Here is an 18,800-nt window from a genome sequence, read left to right on the forward strand (position 1 = left end):
CCTTAGGGAGTGTCTACATGTAACTGGTTGGTGGAAGAGCCTGCAGAGAAGACTCAGCAAGAATGGTCTGGGAGGCCCTGGGGAGGCAGCTGAATGCTGTGTTCAGAACAACAAGGGAGAAGACTTTGGCAGGGAGTGATTCGAAGAGTTAACTGCGACAGAAGCTGAGAAGGAGGAAAGAGAAGCCATTGGATGTGTGGCTCGGGACGTTCAGGGGTGCACTTTCCATGGCGGGGCAGGATCCAGGCTTCAGGGAGTCAGTAAGTAAACTGGGGTGAGGAAGTAGAGGAAGCGAGTGGTCAGTGGTGACAGAAAGAAAATGGGACAGTAACTCGAGAGGGAGACAAGGTCATGGGAGGATTTGGTTGTTTTTTCAGGGTCTGGAGATGTGCATGTGTGTAGGCCAAGGGGAAGGAGCCCGTGGGAAGGGAAGGATTAAAGAGGTAGTAAGAAAGAGAGGAGGGGAGTGAGGCTGCGAGTCTGGGAAGGGTGGAGAGGCTGGGACGGAAAGCTCTGGGGCTGAAGGGCCACTTCAGTATGAGGTCCTTTGGGTGTTCTGGCAACGAAACTGACTTGGACAAGGTCCAAGCAAGACTCTCCTTTCACTAAAGCAAACAGCATGGTGGCACTAACACTTCTCTGAGAAGCTCAAATACAGAGATGTCTCTTTTTCCCCCCAAGACCGGTCTTTCCACTTTCAAGCATTCAAAAAGGTCCAAAAGTTAAATTAGAGTTTCAATATTCTAATTTTCCAACAAATTTATTTCCTTCATGGGTTAGCCAAATCAAGGAGTCTTTTCCCTCACCTGGGTCCCCAAATTTAATTAGCCAACTTCCTCCTTCCCTTCTGAGAGTCAGAAAATAGACTTTTTTTCTCTCCTTCCCCTCCTGGCTTTTGCTTATCTAAGCTAGGGTCCCCATGAGAGCTTTCAGCTGCTTTATTTCAGCTGGTCCCTCATAGCCACACTGACTCTGGTTAACCTTCTCTAGCTTCTCTGGGACCACTTTTAGGAAAGTTTGCTAGGTATTCTGACCTACTAATAGGTCCCTTAAGGGGAAGTCCACACCATCACAGTAGATCTTACTACCTAACACCTAGTGAAATCCTAGGCTTTGCTGAGCTCAGCCAAGACACCACAGGAAACACATGGTCTGGGGTTCCCAGAGAGATTGTCTATATCTCAAAGAATAATGCTAAACAGACAGAATACAAAACTGTCTGGAATAGAAGGCTTTGGGGTTTTAAAGAGCCCACTTTTTGTTTTTTCTAAAAATTTGTTTGGGAGGGATTAGCTTTGTGACTAAGCATAGGAAATAGATGAAATGTGTTTCCTAGATTTCATCTTATTCTTAGGTAGTATTATGGCATTATTAATCTCACCATGGCATTGTTCCACATGCTAATGCTTTTTAAAAAGCATGTCATTAGTTTGAGTGACAGAAACATGTTCTGCACCCTTCATAGATATTCAATATCTCTGTTCTTAAAACATTTTCTTAAACATCAAGTTCTGTTCCATAACATTTACAGAAACACAGCACTGAAAATTGTAACTGTCTCATCTTTCATGGTAAATTGAAGATTTCAGGAGAAAGAAAATGACCAAACACGATTATAAAAATGGCAAGTGGGACATAAACTTCTGCTCTAAGGCATAGTTTCAAATTTTTTTTTATTATACTTTAAGTTCTGGGATACATGTGCAGAACGTGTAGGTTTGTTACATAGGTATACACATGCCATGGTGGTTTGCTGCACCCATCACCCTGTCATCTACATTAGGTATTTCTCCTAATGTTATCCCTCCCCTAGCCCCCCACCCCACTGACAGGCCCCTGTGTGTGATGTTCCCCTCCCCAGATCCATGTGTTCTCATTGTTCAACTCTCACCTATGAGTGAGAACATGCGGTGTTTGGTTTTCTGTTCTTGTGTTAGTTTGCTGAGAATGATGGTTTCCAGCTTCACCCATGTCCCTGCAAAGGACATGAACTCATCCTTTTAATGGCTGCATAGTATTCCATGATGTATATGTGCCACATTTTCTTTATCCAGGCTATCATTGATAGGCAGTTGGGCTGGTTCCAAGTCTTTGCTATTGTGAACAGTGCCACAATAAATGTACATGTGCATGTATCTTTATAGAATGATTTATAATCCTTTGGGTATATAGCCAGTAATGGGATTGCTGGGTCAAACGGTATTGCTGGTTCTAGATCCCTGAGGAATCGCCACACTGTCCTCCACAATGGTTGAACTAATTTACACTGCCACCAACAGTGTAAAAGGGTTCCTATTTCTCCACATCTTCTCCAGCACCTGTTGTTTCCTGACTTTTTAATGAGGGGCATTCTAACTGGTGTGAGATGGTATCTCATTGTGGTTTTGATTTGCATTTCTCTAATGACCAGCGATTATGAGGTTTTTTTTCATGTGTTTATTGGCCACATAAATGTCTTCTTTTGAGAAGTGTCTGTTCATATATCCTTCGCTTACTTTTTGATGGGGTTGTTTTTTTCTTGTAAATTTGTATAAGTTCTTTGTAGATTCTGGATATTAGCCCTTTGTCAGATGGATAGATTGCAAAAATTTTCTCCCATTCTGTAGGTTGCCTGATCACTCTGATGATAGTTTCTTTTGCTGTGCAGAAGCTCTTTAGTTTAATTAGATCCTATTTTTCAAGTTTGGCTTTTGTTGCCATTTCTTTTTGTGTTTTAGTCATGAAGTCTTTGCTCATGCCTATGTCCTGGATGGTATTGCCTAGGTTTTCTTCTAGGATTTTTATGGTTTTATGTTTTATGTTTAAGTCTTTAATCCATCTTAATTTTTGTATAAGGTGTAAGGAAGGGGTCCAGTTTCAGTTTTCTGCATATGGCTAGCCAGTTTTCCCAACACCACTTATTAAATAGGGAATCCTTTCCCCATTGTTTGCTTTTGTCAGGTTTGTCAAAGATCAGATGGTTGTAGATGTGTGGTGTTATTTCTGAGGCTTCCGTTCTGTTCCATTTGTCTATATATCTATTTTGGTACCAGTACCATGCTGTTTTTTGTTACCATAGCCTTGTAGTATAGTTTGAAGTCAAGTAGTGTGATGCCTCCAGCTTTGTTCTTTTTGCTTAGGATTGCCTTGACTATACAGGCTCCTTTTTGGTTCCATATGAATGTTAAAGTAGTTTTTTCTAATTCTGTGAAGAAAGTCAATGGTAGCTTGTTGGGGATAGCATTGAATCTATAAATTACTTTGGGCAGCATGGCCATTTTCATGATATTGATTCTTCCTATCCATGAGCATGGAATGTTTTTCCATTTGTTTGTGTCCTCTTTTATTTCATTGAGCAGTGGTTTGTAGTTCTCCTTGAAGAGGTTCTTCACATCTCTTGTAATTTGTATTCCTAGGTATTTTATTCTCTTAGCAATTGTGAATTGGAGTTCACTCATGATTTGGCTGTTTGTCTATTATTGGTATATAGGAATGCTTCTGATTTTTGCACATTGATTTTGTATCCTGAGACTTTGCTGAAGTTGCTTATCAGCTTAAGGAGTTTTTGGGCTGAGACGATGAGGTTTTCCAAATATACAATCATATCATCTGCAAACAGAGACAATTTGACTTCCTCTCTTCCTATCTGAATATGCTTTCTTTCTTTCTCTTGCCTGATTGCCCTCACCAGAACTTTCAATACTATGTTGAATGGAGTGGTGAGAGAGGGCATCCTTGTCTTGTGCTGGTCTTCAAAGGGAATGCTTCCAGCTTTTGCCCATTCAGTGTGATATTGGCTGTGGGTTTGTCATAAATAGCTCTTATCATTTTGAGATACATTCCATGAATACCTAGTTTGAGAGTTTTTAACATGAAGGGTTATTGAATTTCATCAAACGCCTTTTCTGCATCTATTGAGATAATCATGTGATTTTTGTCCGTGGTTCTGTTTATGTGATGGATTTACGTTTATTGATTTGTGCCTGTTAAACCAGCCTTGCATCCCAGGGATGAAGCCGATTCGATAGTAGCGGATAAGCTTTTTGATGTGCTGCTGGATTCAAACTGAAGCCGGCAAACCGAATCAAAACATTTTTATAACACGAATATGAAGAGTTTATTTCCTACTGTCTTTAATTTTTGTTTCAGCCTTTAAAATAATATTCATGGAAATTTGTGAGAATATGGATTTAATAAAATATAGAGAATAAACTGTGCTTTAAAATTAGAAATGGAGTAATATATATTATTGCATTTTTTGGTGTAATTGTGTTGCTATCAAGTCTTTATTCTATTTTCAAAAGTATTCGTCTGTCAATCCTTATGTTGCAGTAATAAAAAAATTTAATATCTGCTCGTGAAATATAATAATCATTTTGCCTGAGTGGATGTAACCACTAACCAAAGTGACCCGGTGAGCATGTAAGGAAAAGAGTTTGCCCGTTTATGCTGCTTCACATCTTCCAGTGTGAAGAGCAGGTTCATATGGAGGCTACACACAGATGCTAGAGTCAGACTGGTTTAAATCACAGCTCTGTGTGACCTTCATCAATATACTTGCTAACCCGCTGTCTCGGATTCCTCTTCTGTAATATGGGGATTATAAAATAGTAATCTACCTGAAACGGTGTGGCGACTAAATAATTTAATGTTGGCAGAGTGCTGCAACAGACGCTGAGGCTACTCCATGCAAATACCCATCCCTACCTGCTGAGGGTTTGGGCCACTAAAGACTCAGACCTGACCAGGCATGGTGGCTCACACCTGCAATCCCAGCACTTTGGGAGGCTGAAGTGGGCAGATCACTTGAGGTCAGGAGTTTGAGACTAGCCTGGGCAACATGGAGAAGCCCCGTCTCTGCTAAAAATACAAAAATTAGCCAGTTGTGGTGGCGCACACCTGTAGTCCCAGCTACTCAGGAGGCTGAGGCAGGAGAATCACTTGAACCCAGGAGGTGGAGGTTGCAGTGAGCCAAGATCACGCCACTGCACTCCAGCCTGGGCAACAGAGCAAGACTTCATGTCAAAAAAAAAAAAAAAAAGAAAAAGAAAAAGAAAAAGAAAAAGAAAAGAAAAGAAAAGAAAAGAAAAGAAAAGAAAAGAAAAGAAAAGAAAAGAAATATTCACACCTGCACCCTTCTCAAGAGGCTTGCCCCTGGCTGACAGGTACTCTCTTGAGGGGGTGCTTGTTATGCACTCTCCCAGCACCCACTACTGCAAGTGGCCCATAACTAATGACCTACTGGTTCAGGGTTATAAGAGCCAGCACCCCTGCTTCTGGAGGACTAAACGCTGTGGTACAATCCACTAGTCAGAACTCCCATAGGATCAGGCTGGGGCTAGACTTCTAAAGCCATTCTTTGTTTATCTTCTTTCCCTGCCCTGCTCTCACGCCTTTCCTGGTTTTCCCTCCATAAATTATTCCTTCCTTTGCACAGAATCCCTGGCTCAGGCTCTGCTGGGGAACTGGACCTGAGACCAGTACTTCAAATAGTGCTTGGCACTATGTTAGCAATTATTAAGGATTAAAACAATCAAATTATTTGGTCTAAGTCAGATGTATAAATTGGAGACTTTATTGTTTAGAATGGAGTGACTTGCACGTTCGTCATCAGAGCTGATAAATAACTGCTTCCACATCAGCTTGTCTTTATAATTATTTTTCTTTCAATGGGAATGCTTAAAGAAAGCCCATTTCAGAGTTGTCAGGGAACAGTTTGAACAAGGACAGAGGGTGTCCAGCACAACTGGGGAATGCGAGGCCTGACTCCATAGCCGATGAGCAGGCAGGGTTACAGGTGTCCTAGGTTTCAGAGTCTTGGAACAGAGCAGGAGAAGGGGCAAAGCAGCAGGTACTGGGAGGAGCTATGGTTCAGCTCTCCCTCATTTCTTGACAGACAGGAAGAGGTTTGTACCCTGGGGTACTTTAGCTGCTTGAAGTAACCAGGTCTTAGGCATTGTTTTGTTCAAATCAAGATACAGGAAACTTCTCTCAATATTGAAAAAAGAGAGAAAAGGCAACGGGGAAAAAAAAGGAGGGAAAGGATGGGAGCTTTAGCTATCAGAAAGAGAAGACTCTTCCTGTGTAGCACGGGAGAGAAGGGAATTATCTAGATTTAGGAGAGTGGACAGAGGCAGAACTCAGACAAATTTAACTGCTAAAATGCTCATGTGTGCTACAAGGGCAGGAAGTATCCCCCTGGGAATGTGTTACTGTTGAGGAGAAAGGCCATCAGCAAACCTAAAGGGGCCATGTTGCAGGAGCAAAGCCCCCACAAAGGAACTAAGCTGCAAGCCCTTAGGTGGCAGTATATGCCAGAAGGGACAGCCAAAACAGGCAGCTGGGCCTAGGAATTTTATCTTCAAAAATCCAAATGCAGTCTTGAAGAAGTTATCTCCCATCTCCTATCTCAAGATGGAAAATCAAAGCCACCATGCATCAGTTTGCAGCTGTGTAACGCCCATTTGGTCAATAGCCACCTCTGGCTTTGTTTCCTGGAAGCTGTGCAATCATCACCGCTATCATTTAGGGCTGATAATTTTGAGACACCTGTGTCCAGATAAAAATCTGGTCTCCTGGGATTTAGAACCAGACATTGATTTTCTTTACTACCAGGATCACTCACAGGATAAAGTAAGACAATGGCCAGGAGGGAAGATGGGTTCATCTGGATATTAGGCACTAAGGTTGGCTGCATCACTGCGATGGAAGATACAGGAGAGGCACTTCTAAGGGTCTCAAGTCCATTCTGACAAGCCTTCTTGGTAAAATTCCAGGCCAAAAGAGGAGGCAGGAGGATTCTCTGGAGCTCTGGCTAGTATTTAGCAAGGCCCATCTTCCTAGGCCTTGAGTTCACTGCCTTGGAGTGACACACCATGTTTTGGAAGAGGTTTTAAGGTTAACCGTGCACTTTTTCACATTATTTTGGTCAGCCCTCAAAATAATGATGTTATTTCTTCTTTTTTATTTAAAATGAGAAAACTGAGACTCAGAAAATTTAACACCGTTAGGAAGTGGCAAAGTAAGCATTTCGACCCTGGCCATTGGCTTAAGAGTCTGGTGTTCTTCATCAGAGAAAAAAAGCACAGCCCTATTGTGAATATGTTCTCAGAGAATGTATCTTTTAGCATAGGACTTGTCATTTTCATCTTTTGATTTATTCCTTGAATACTATTTGCATGTTTGAAAATCCAAAACGGGTAAAACACTCCATACCATCCTTGTCCCTCATCTGCCATGCTCTTTCTTTCCAGCGCCATGGTAACCACTATTCTTAGTTTCTTCCATAGTCTCTTTATGTTCTATCAGGAAGCATGAGCTTCTTTTCTTCTTACTTCTTTTACACAAAAGTTACCATGTTATAAACAATGTTTAATACCTTCCTTTTTTCAATTAACTATATATCCTAGAGCTCTTTCTGTATCATTTTATAGGAAGCTTTCTCATTCTTCTTTATAGTTTATAGTATTCTCTTGTATGGATGTTCTATAATTTATTGAATCAGTTCTCTATTGATAAAAACTTGGGTTGTTTCCTATTTTTTACTACAAAACGCTCCAAGGAACAACCTTGTACATTCATCCTTTAGTACATATACAAGTATATCTGTAGGTTACTTTTCTGAAAGAAGAATCGCTGTAGAAAAATGTTTATGTATTTATAATTTTTGTGGATAGTCATCAGAAATTGATAAAGCCAAAAACTAAACACAAAGCCATTTCATCCCTCATACCAGGGTTTAATAATTGGTTTACCAAGGACACACCCAACTAATGAGGACTCCAGCTCAGTTCCTTTATGAATTGAGTAAATACTGAGTTGGCCCCAAGGCCATTCTTCAGAGCAGATTCTTCCAGGGCTCTTATCTTTGACTTTGGGTTCTCTCTCATTTTTTTTTTTCTTTCGGTAGATGCTCTAAGGCAAGAAAATTGGAGACTTTTTTGAAATTCTTCCTCTTGTCCTTCAGATACATCATACTGGAAAACAGCTGAGACAAGCATATCTCTGCAACTGGCCTTAGTGAAACAGAAAAATCACAGGCTCTGGGGTCAGAAAGACCTAAATTTGAATATTGGTTTTCTCACTTTTTAAATGCATGATCTTGGGTGGGAATTTTAACCTCTCCAAGTCATGCTTCTTTCATGTGGGGAAGAGAAAAAAAATACTTGAACCTATCAAAAATGGTGTGGTGAGGTTAAAGATAATGTGTGAAAAACACACTAAGGACTCAATGGATATTTTCTGTTATTTTGTAAAATTGTCCTAAAATACATGCTTATAAATTCTTTTATATCAGTGTCGCTGGGGGCCTAGGACCAGCCTCTACCTGCATCTACATGAATGACTCATAACCTCAGCTTCCAAACCATCTCATTATTGACGGTTTGCCTCTTGGTAAGCAGTTGAGGAGTGGTTTTCCACATCCCGCTGATGACACAGTGTTCCTCATGATATGGCTGCATTAGGCTCCAACCACACTTGTAACATCAAAGCACCCTGGCTCATCAATTAGTCAGGAAGCAATTTTTCACCATTTGGTCCAGCACCTAAGCTGGCTCTTAAAAAGCACCAAGGTTTATCTAGGGTCAGATGGCTTAGAAATCCTACAAATAGGGCCACCCACAGCCACATAGTTTTGTGACAGGTGTCTGGACTCACAAGAAGCAAAGACCCACAGAACACAGAGCAGACATTTTCAGCTCTGATCTGAGAGCTGCTGTTTCCAAGTCTGCAGATTTATCATTTTATTATTTCTTGACACCCAAATGAGCACACGAAGCTCTGTGTCCTCCTGGTGAAGGAAAGAGGCTCTTTGAAACAGACAACTCTGGTGATGGCAGTAATGCGATGATGGATTATCTTTATGTTTCCTCATTCCCTGAATCCATTAAAAGAGGGGAGTTGAATTCTATCTTATCAAGATCCTCTTTCCTTAATTACTTTTTAAATGACTGAAATGAAAATTTGCAAACAAGGCACGTGTTAGGTATTCCTCTCATCTTCAGCCTATCCCTGACACCGTCCCAACTTCTGCCTTTCAAAGTAATCCAGCAGCAAAGATGTTCTAAAGTGTGAGTCACTCACAGATTGTTCAGGGGGCTGAAGGAAAATCTGCTAATGGGATTTGCAGTTCTACACCAGAAAATAATGAGATAGGAAATGGGCAATGTGTACGTGATTCTTCCATGTCATTCAGAATAATGAGATCTTGGAGCAGCTTCTTCCTGAATTGAAATCATTGACAATGTATTTGCATATTCATTTTTGGATACTTTGATTTAAAAGTCAGTTATGGAAGAAGTCAGTCTAACATCTGAGAATTGTAGGTACTTGAAAAGAAAAGAAAAATTCTATCCTACGATTATCTCTTTCCTCAATGTTTCTTAGGACCTTGAAGAAGAGGTTGAGGGAACACAAACATTTGGGTTATATTTTTAAAACTTAAAAATAAAGATTTGTGGAGAGAATATTGACCTATAACATTTGCAGCTTTTGCCTTTTATTATCAAGGGTTTGTTAAAGCCCATCGTATCATCATGAAGATTTGAGTAGAAATGTTCTTATGCCTGTACTGTGCAATACAGTAGCCACTAGCCACATGTGCTATTTGAATTTAAATTAATTAAAATTAAACCAGATTAAAACATTAGGTCCTTGGTAGCACTAACCACATTTCTAGTGTGCCTGGTGGATGATACAACTCCTGGGTGTAGAAAGTGGCAGGCGTTTGTGTGAATGAATGAAATCTCCCAGGCTGAATGTGATGGAGGCTTCTACAATGATTAATCAACTAAGCAGCCTCTTTTTCCTCCTTAATAACTTGGAGTTTTACTCGTCCTTCCTCCATAACATCTCTCTCTAACCATGGCTAGCTGTGGAGAAAGAGGCTTGCAAATTAAAGTTCATGCATTCATGGTTCAAGACCTAGTTAAGCATAAGTGGGTTATCTGTAGTAATCAATCCTTCTGAATCACCAAGTTTATCCAAATTTCTTGATTCAGAAAAAAATCAAGTCACATCACCAATGGAGTGGCTTTGGGAGATTATGTTCTCCCTAAAAAGAAAAATGCATCAGTTTTGCATATTGATGTTATTCAATTTACAAGCATAGGCAAATATAGCACCATTTGAAATAACACAAGATTTGGGTTAGATATATGCAAAAACAAGCAAGCAAACAAAACTTAATAGTCCACGTTTTCTGATTATGAGTTCATTCTCAAGTCTTGATGATTTAAGTCAACCTCACCCTTGATGCAAAGCAATAATTATGGGTTTTGTTGGTAAAATCAAGTCATCATTCAATATTCATGTGCTCTTTCAGAGAAATCTCTTAGGCAGTTAATGTTATTTCTCCCTCCCTCTCTATCCTTCCTCCCAACCCCACCAACCATCAGCATTGTTATTCCAGCAGATACAATCAAAATGTACACCACCAAAGGAAGTCTTAGAAGAACAAAAAAGGCTTAAGGCTTAAACATGAATATCAATGTGAATCATTCTATGAGCTTCGTCTGGGGGGACAAAAGAGGTAGAACAGACTTATTTGATGTATATAAAATGATTAACTTTTACGGGACTTATTCCCTACCAGGCACTGTTCCATATACTCCGTACGTACCAACTATCACAGCAGCCCCCTTTCTCTGATGAAGAAACTGAGATAGGGAGAGGTTAAACAATTGCACTCAAGTTACCATAACCAAGCTACAAAAAAGGCAGTTTAGGACCACTGACTGTACTCTTAACCTTGAGGCCAAATGCTGTGTCTACTTAAGTACCTGGGCTGGGGCTGCCTCCTTTGTCCCGAGTACAGCCTGATAGAATGGGCTGGCTTCTGGAGCTATGGGAGGGCCTCAAAATACAGTCAGCCCTGTGGCATGTATCACTGACTTATCTGGAAGGTATAAGGTAAGCTGAGGAACCACTGCGATACTCACTTCCAGTCTCCCCCCACCGGGGCTGCTTTTGTTGGTCAGATGTGGAAGGGAAAGCTACCTTCTCTACCGCCTTTGATCAGACCTAGGCCACAGTGTGAAGAGGAGAGTGTGCCTGCTTCTTAGAGAAAGCTAGGAGACGAATGTTCCCAGTCCTGCTAGCACACTCTTTGCAGGCTCTTTGGTGGGCTTGGGATAACCCAGCACTCCTGAAGGCTACAGGGTGTGCTTTGTCTCCTAGACACAGAAAACTCTTTGGCAGCGTCTTAGCCTGGGTCCACAGTGCCCCTTGGGTAAGATGAGGGTAAACAGGCTCCAAGGTCCAAAACATGTCTGCTATTAAGCCCCATATTAATTTAATTAATTAAAACCTAAGATATAGTTGAGAAAGAAAAGCAAAAGACTTTCCTTTGTAGGAGCACCAAGTTAACCTATTGCTAGTCGCCTCTTGGGCACACAAATGAAAGCACAATGCCATAAACAGCAGTCCAGTCAGGACGCTTGGTCAGCTCATCATCCAGCTTCTTTATGGTGGGGAGCTGCTATGAATGGCAGAGCAGCCCTGGGGTGGTATGTGGCTGGGAATTGACTCCCCTACCCTTTATCTGCAGCAGAGTAACTGACAGAAGGTAGGGTTACGGGGCCAGATAGAAGGGGAGATTCCTTTCCCTGTGCTGCCTGGGTGGTCTTTTTGTCCCTATCTTCCTGGAAAAGATGATTAGATACAGTTCTGGGGTGGGAAGGAACCCACCCGCATTGTTGCTTTGCAGATAAGAAAACTGAAACTTGAAGTGGTAAAATGACATGCCCAAGGTCAGTTAAATGTCAGAGATTATGATCATTGATGTCATCCAAAGAAAACTCCAATTTTCTTCCAAGCTATGAAGTGGAACCAATTTGTAATACAGCTTTCTCAAAGGGCTGAAATCCTATTTCTTAAAGCCTCAGTTTATGTTGTTCATGCATTGAGCACTTGGGACAGAGGGAATTGAGGCAGAGGAAATTTTTTTATTATTATTTATAATAGAAACTCCACTGTCTAAAGGGATTTGAGGTGGCTTGTAATGAAAGGCAGACATATCATAAAGCTGTAAAAATATTTTAAAAGGAGAAAAAAAGTTGAAGGTTAGGAAAAAAATCTGTATCAAACCCCTAAGTTAAAGGCAGCCAAGGGGAACAGTATGAGTAACTCAATTCTCACTGCCTGTTGAAAGGAAGCGTAGTAATGCTTAGCTACAACATTCTTGGAGAAAAGTTAGTTGGTTAGCTTACTATTATTCTCTACTAATTCTGGAGGGTCTTTTTAAAAATTTTAATTTATTCAGGGATAGGGCTCTGGGCCAGATTGATGCTCTGATTCTTAATGACATAATGGATAGCCCCAGAAGCAGGTGCCAGAAGGCATTACTATCATGGCTTCACTATTACTCTGAGACACTATTTTTATTGTGCACTATTTTAACCCCATATTAATGACTGTAGATTTTACCTGGGCACATGTATTGTCACCTAATTATTTAGTTGTCTTTTTACAGACTGTCAAGGTCTTTACTTCTTAACACAAGGACATGCCAAGGCAGTACTGCAAGACAGGGAGACCTCGTCAGAATTCATTCATCTGAGTTCAACAGCATGTATTGAGTACCCACTGCATGCCCCAACCTTGCTAAGGAGCAAGGGATAAAAATGTGAGCTGAGCCTGATTTACAGGCAAAGATTCAATGATTTATAATACAATATGATGACATCATATGATAACAGTGATCAGAATGATGTGTTTTAGGAATGCAATAGAAAAAGGACAGATTCTGCCCAGAGACATTGGAGGTAGGTTACCAGGGGAGGTAATGTTTTATTCATTCTTTTAACAAATATTGAGTATATATTTTCTTCCAGATACTATGTTGGGTGCTGAGATTATCAAAGCAGTCATGTTCTCTATTTTCATGGAACTTGAAGTAATAGCCTATTTATACATGGAGAAAAAGACTCATAGTGTATTGCAGAGAAAAAAGTATTGCAGAGAAAAAAAGAGCTCTATGAGCAAAGATGAGAGGGACATGCAAGCTAAAGGGTGACCAGATAATGTGTGGGGCATGAGGACACTTGAACTGTATCACATACACAATGGGGAGACGGCAAAGGTCTTAGGGAGTGGCATGATCATATTTGTACTTTAAGAGTTAGCCACAAAGATTTAATTACATAAAAAATAAAACCATAAAAGTACTAGAAAAAAACATAGGTAAGTATATACTTTTAACTTGGGGAAAAGCTTTCAACATATGGCATCGAAAAGTTAAAACCACACAGAAAAGAGGGATAGATTTGAATATATAAAGATTTAAAAGTAAACCACAAAACCACTAAAGTTAAAAGGATAAAAGTTTTAAAAAAAGTAAAAAGGACAAATTGGGGGATATTCAATAGCCTTGATATAGAAATGACTCATACATACAAACAAGAAAAAGAAAATGCCTTATAGAACAAAAATAAGATATTTGCAAAAGGAGATATTCAAAAGTTTCCCCCAAAAAACAACAGATGAAAAATGTTCAAACTCACTAGTAATCTAAACAAATTAAAATAGGTAGCTATCATTCTTTACTTACCAGATTAAACAAAGATTTAAAAAGAATACAGTAATGCCAGCGTTAGTGAAGGACTAGAAGAACAGACTCTTAAGTACTACCTGTATATGAGTGGTTTAGAAGACCAATTTGTAACAAATGTCAGAATTCTTAAAAATTAATAGATATACTGATTTAACAAATTTACTTTTAGGAATATATCCTAAGGAAGTTGGCCAACTCACAAAAAAATTTTTTTCCAAATGGCTCATTTCAATGTTGTTTGTAATAGCTAAACAAAATACAAAAAAACACAACAACACAAACAACAACAAAAACCCACAAAACAATGTAGATGCCTAACCCTGAAACAAAGGATTGGTTAAAAAATACAAAGGCACTGCCACCCACTCAGACGCTATGTAGCCATTAAAAATAATATGAATCTATACTTACTGACATGGAAATTTACCCATAATATATTGTTAACAAAGAATAGAAGGTTACAGAGAATTATAGCAGGATATCATTTTTGAAAATAGTTATTTTATGTACATAAAAAATCCAGTAGGAAAGACAAAATATTGTATCATTTTTCTGATTGTAGTTTTTTTCATTCTGCTTTTTATTTTCTCATTTTTCTACATCAAACATGGATTAATACAAAAATAATTCAATCATTATAACACATTAAAGGTGATTAGCCTCAGGCACAAAAGATGAAGGGCATTCAGGAGGCATTTGCCATAAACCAGGAAAGAAATGAGAAAGGCTTGTGCTGGACTCCAGTGGTTTCCAGTCCTAGCTGTACTTTAGAAATACCTAGGGAGGTATTAAAAAGTACTCATTTCAGGCACAACACAGACTAATTAATTTAGAGTCTCTGGGATGGTACCTTGACACTGGTATGTTTTAACGTCTGCCCCCTGCCTTGCCCCAAGTGACTCTAAAATGTGCAGGTGGAGATAAGTCCACTACTCTAAGGCAGTGGCAGTTGGAAAGGAGAAGAAGAGGATTTGGACCTGAATTACGTTCCAGGGGTGGGATCCCTAAAAAGGATATAAATCTTAGGACATGAATTTGGCTTTAGTGGGTTTCCTTCCATTCTATATAGCTCTCAAGGTCAAGTGCATTGCTGAGGAATGGACAATAGCCTCTGCTGATCCCTCTGATCTAAGCTGCTGCTGGCACGGCAGCATTGGAGGCTACATCCATTCTCAGCACATTTGGAGTGCAATGATGCTGCAGGAACAAATCGCCCACCTTCCAAATGCCCTGTGAGTGAGTCAGTGCTCAGCAGCATTGGCAAGGCGGAGCGCTGTAACGGCAAAGAAAGGATGACATCTCATATACATGTGTGAACAGGACTGTTTACTCATAGGATGATTATTTTAAAGGAGACGTTTGGTTTTTTAAGGTCCGTAGAAGTTTGTTTCATCGCTAATCGCAGCGGGTGTAGGTGTTAGCTAACATACCGGTAACTGAATGTTCTTAGCAATACTGCAATAGCTTCCCTTAAGGTTTAAAAATTACAATTTGATTTTAATTGCCACCTCTCTTAATAGGTGTTACTCAAACAGGAAGGAAAATGCCACATACTCTTACCAGTTCTTGATGCCAGAGATTACTAAAGCAATTTGGAAAGATATCGAAAAGGTGTTGAGAAAATACAGGTGAATTTTAATACATGATGTGTATTGACATTTTTACTCTAGGTAGCAACAGAGAGACTTCTGTATTGCTGGGGAGGAATTATATGAGATTTTGGCTACGGAGACAGGATTTCTCACTTCTTATTGGCTGAAAAAAAAATAAATGAAGCCATTAGAAGCAGTATTGAAATATTAATCATACCTTCCAAAATTAAACACTCTTTTAAAAATAAAAGTTACACAATCTGTCTTTCACTTCATCTTTGACTTTCATCCCAACACTGGTGGGAGGAAATAAGCTCTGGTTAAAATCAAGACTGAAAGTGACTTTGACTTTGCAGAGAACAGTGTCAAGGCGAAGAACTTGACTGTATCTTCTCTCCCACTTGGGGTCAGTGTTTAGGCACATGAGAGAAGATGAGGAACCAGGACAGGAAATGGCAGCGTTTCCACCAAAGGTCAAGGGGAACATTAATGGGCTACATTCCAGACCCAAGGCTGACGATCTTCTTCAAAGGAGTCAGTGGTGGAAACACAGACTCAGAGCCACTCCCAAAAGGTACGATGAGGTCAGGATCATTGAAGAGAGGCAGTGCACAGGGGGCGTTCGGGTGAGCATCTCTAAAGTTACCTTTCTGGTTGGTCTTTGACATCAAAGTGCGTAAGTCTGCCTTTCATGGGCAGGTAGAAATGCTGTGCAGGTGAAAACAGGCCTCTGGCAAGATAAGAACAGAAATCTTTGAGCTTCAAATTACAGATCTTTATGTTTCACTGAAACTTGTCTTTACAGGGGTGTCAGTCTCCACTGTGACTGACCACAAAACCCTGCAGGAAAGAGGCTGTGGGTTTTCCTGCGTGGTCCCCAGACCCTAATATGCCCATGTGGCTGCCTAATACACATCTCTATTTAAAATGTTCAGAATCTGTGTACTTGGTAAGTAAATTTCAAACAATACCCTTCCTCTCTTCCGCTCCCTGTCTCCAGACCCCCATTTTCCCTCCCTGAAGATAACCACTGCTAGTGCATTTTTAGACTTCCTACCGGAGATAGATATTCTTCTTGCTCCGTTTCTCTCTCTCTCTCCACACGCACACACACTCACACACACACACACATAAATACATATACACACGTAAACATAACATATACATATTTTTACATAGATAGAACTTCACACACTGCTCTGTACCTTGTCTTGTTCCCTCATGTTCACTTATCAATAAATTCTGGAGATCATTCCACGCCATTCCATACAGGACTGATTCAATCTGTGCATGAATGCATAGCACTCCACTGCAGAGGTGAACCACAATCTGTTCAACCAGGCCTCTCTAACTGATGGAATTTAGAGTTTTTCCAGTCTTTGTCAATGCTGCACTAAATGTCTTTGTATAACTATTTTTATGTCTGTGGAAGTATTTCTGAAAGATTAATTCCTGGATATAAAATTTCTGAGTACATGTACTTTAAGTTCTGATTGATATTGACATATTTTCCTTCAAATATCGAGCCAATTCATACTCTATCAAGAATATATGAGGCCTTGAGAATATTAAGTGAAAGAAGGCCACAAAAGACCACAGAATATATGATTCCTATATCATGAAATATCTAGCATAGGCAAATCCATACAGAAATCGATTAATGGTCACCAGGGGTTGGGGGAAGGAAGGAGCTAAAGAGTAAGTGGTATTGGGTGCAGGATTTCATTTCGGTGTGACGAAAATGTTCTGAATTCAGATAGTGGTGATGCTCCTACATCTATAAATATGCTAAACCCCACTGAATTTTATACTTTAAACGGATGAATTTATGATATGTGAATTCTATCTCGATAAAGCTCTTATTTTAAAAAATGCATGAGAGTACCTGTGCCTTCCACTCCCCTATTGACAGTGTATGTTCACACTTTTTCATCACCATTCTAATTACAACATCTTGCTTCATTCCTTCTAAAGGAGGACTAAGCAGGAAAGAAATAGATTGAACGGGCCAACCAGGTATTTTAGGATTTGGGCTGTCAACTTTATAGTCTAACAGCAATGGAAATGTCTAAGATGGAAACAATCAAAACAGTCAAGTTGTCAACAATTGCCAATGAATTCAGCAGCCTAAATGAAACAAGCAAGGAATGAGACTTAAGAATTTAAAAAAGGGATGAAGGACCCAGTTCTTCCAGCCTAAAGGATTTTGAAATCTCCGTTTGCTTAACCAAGGACATGAATGCCACAACTCCTGAATGCAGAACTTAATCCAGCAGCGTGCCTCCAGTAGAAAATAAGCTGAAGTTCAATGTATTCTCTATGAAGAAGGTATGGGAGCTGAGTAAAACATTTTTGTACACCATTCTAGAGCTACTGATAGGCTGAAAAAATTAACCATTGCTTGCCCCTCTTAAAACTCATATTTTCATTGAGATGGGTTTCCTTTGGATTCCATTTCGCCCCTTTTCACCTCTCACCTCCAAGATTAACCCTGCTAAATACTTCTTTTTCTATGATGTCTTATATTTCAAACTGCTTGTGCCTTGTGGGATTAAAAGCTAAATACTCTTTAACAAGAGTAATCCCCTAAGTGGACATGTTTCTGAGATTGTTAGGCATTTGATCACAAGTGAAAGATGAGAATGCAGCGGGAAGGTATGAAAGCACAGAGAGTAGAGAGGTTCAGGATTTTCACCTTAGTAATAATTGATTGCAAAGGGGCTCTCCAAGCCAATATTTGCATGAAAATAGGCCCATTCTTAATTCTCAAGAATAAGCTCATTTTTCTCCCTTCCATTGAGAAGCAATATGACCCCAAGGAAATACATCCCAGCAAGTGAGGCCTTGACACACTTGACCTTTCCCAGTTTTTGACTCAGCTTATGTGGCTTTAATAATAACAGCTAGCACTTACAAATAATGCATTTAATATGTGGCAGCCACTGTTCTAGGCACTCTATATATACTGGCTCATTTAAGACCCAACAATCTTGTGAGGAAAACACTATTTGTCCTGCTGCTATGGACTGAATTGTGCCTCCCCACCCCTGCAGAAATCATATGTTGATGCCTTAACCCCCAGTGTAGTGGTATTTGTGGATGGGCCTTTGGGGAGGCAACTGGGTTTAGATAAAGCCATGAGGGTGGGGTCCTCATAATGGGATTAGGGCCCCCCTAAGAAGCGGCTCCAGACAACTTGCTTCCCTCTCCTGTCACTGCCATGTGAGGACACAGGGAAAAGGCAGAAGAATTTCTGAAAGTCAGAAGAATTTCTCACCGGGGAACCAAGTTGGCTATCACCTTGATTTTGGACTTCCCAGTCTCCAGAACAGTGAGATATAATTATTCACTGTTTAAGGCACTCAGTCTATGGTATATTGTTGTGGTAGCCCAAGCTGACTAATGTAAACCAAAATTAAAATTCTAAGGCCCCTCAACCATCTGAATGAACCCTTCCTCCTGGCCAAGGACATTCCAAAATTAACCTGAAGAACAAGTTCAGGCTATGATGGGAAGGGGGAGCTGGACATGCCTCATTATACCCTCCTCCCTTTTGGAATTACTGGTAGAACGGACTCTAAGTTTGATAAGAAACATTTACAATTTATTCTCTCTGAAGTCTGCTACCTGGAGGCTTCATCTGTATGACAAAACCCTGGTCTCTATGACCTCTTATT

General features: G+C 40.0%; 2 long non-coding RNA genes across 2 annotated transcripts in view, besides 1 other annotated feature; one reads left to right on the top strand and one right to left on the bottom strand.

Annotated features, from left to right (window-relative positions):
- Nucleotides 1-12,457: 12,457 nt before the first annotated feature.
- Nucleotides 12,458-15,618, top strand: LOC124901003 (uncharacterized). The gene is made up of 3 exons (XR_007058820.1): nt 12,458-12,743; nt 15,052-15,159; nt 15,535-15,618. It is a non-coding gene; the product is annotated as an uncharacterized LOC124901003 (long non-coding RNA).
- Nucleotides 14,104-18,800, bottom strand: part of LINC02122 (long intergenic non-protein coding RNA 2122) — a 68,866-nt gene continuing 64,169 nt past the window's right edge. Inside the window, exon 3 of the long non-coding RNA NR_183289.1 lies at nt 14,104-15,853. This is a non-coding gene — a long non-coding RNA (long intergenic non-protein coding RNA 2122). The remainder of the gene's footprint in view (nt 15,854-18,800) is intronic.
- Nucleotides 14,938-16,137: an enhancer, noted in NCBI's record as "CDK7 strongly-dependent group 2 enhancer chr5:73330922-73332121 (GRCh37/hg19 assembly coordinates)". NCBI's record gives its function as "activates an origin of replication core promoter dependent on BRD2, BRD4, P300/CBP, MED14 and CDK7 cofactors, with strong dependence on CDK7, by STARR-seq in HCT116 cells {active_cell/tissue: HCT116}" and the evidence as "EXISTENCE:reporter gene assay evidence [ECO:0000049][PMID:35650434]".

Source organism: Homo sapiens, chromosome 5, assembly GCF_000001405.40.
Source record: "Homo sapiens chromosome 5, GRCh38.p14 Primary Assembly".
Classification (NCBI taxonomy): Eukaryota; Metazoa; Chordata; class Mammalia; order Primates; family Hominidae; genus Homo; species Homo sapiens.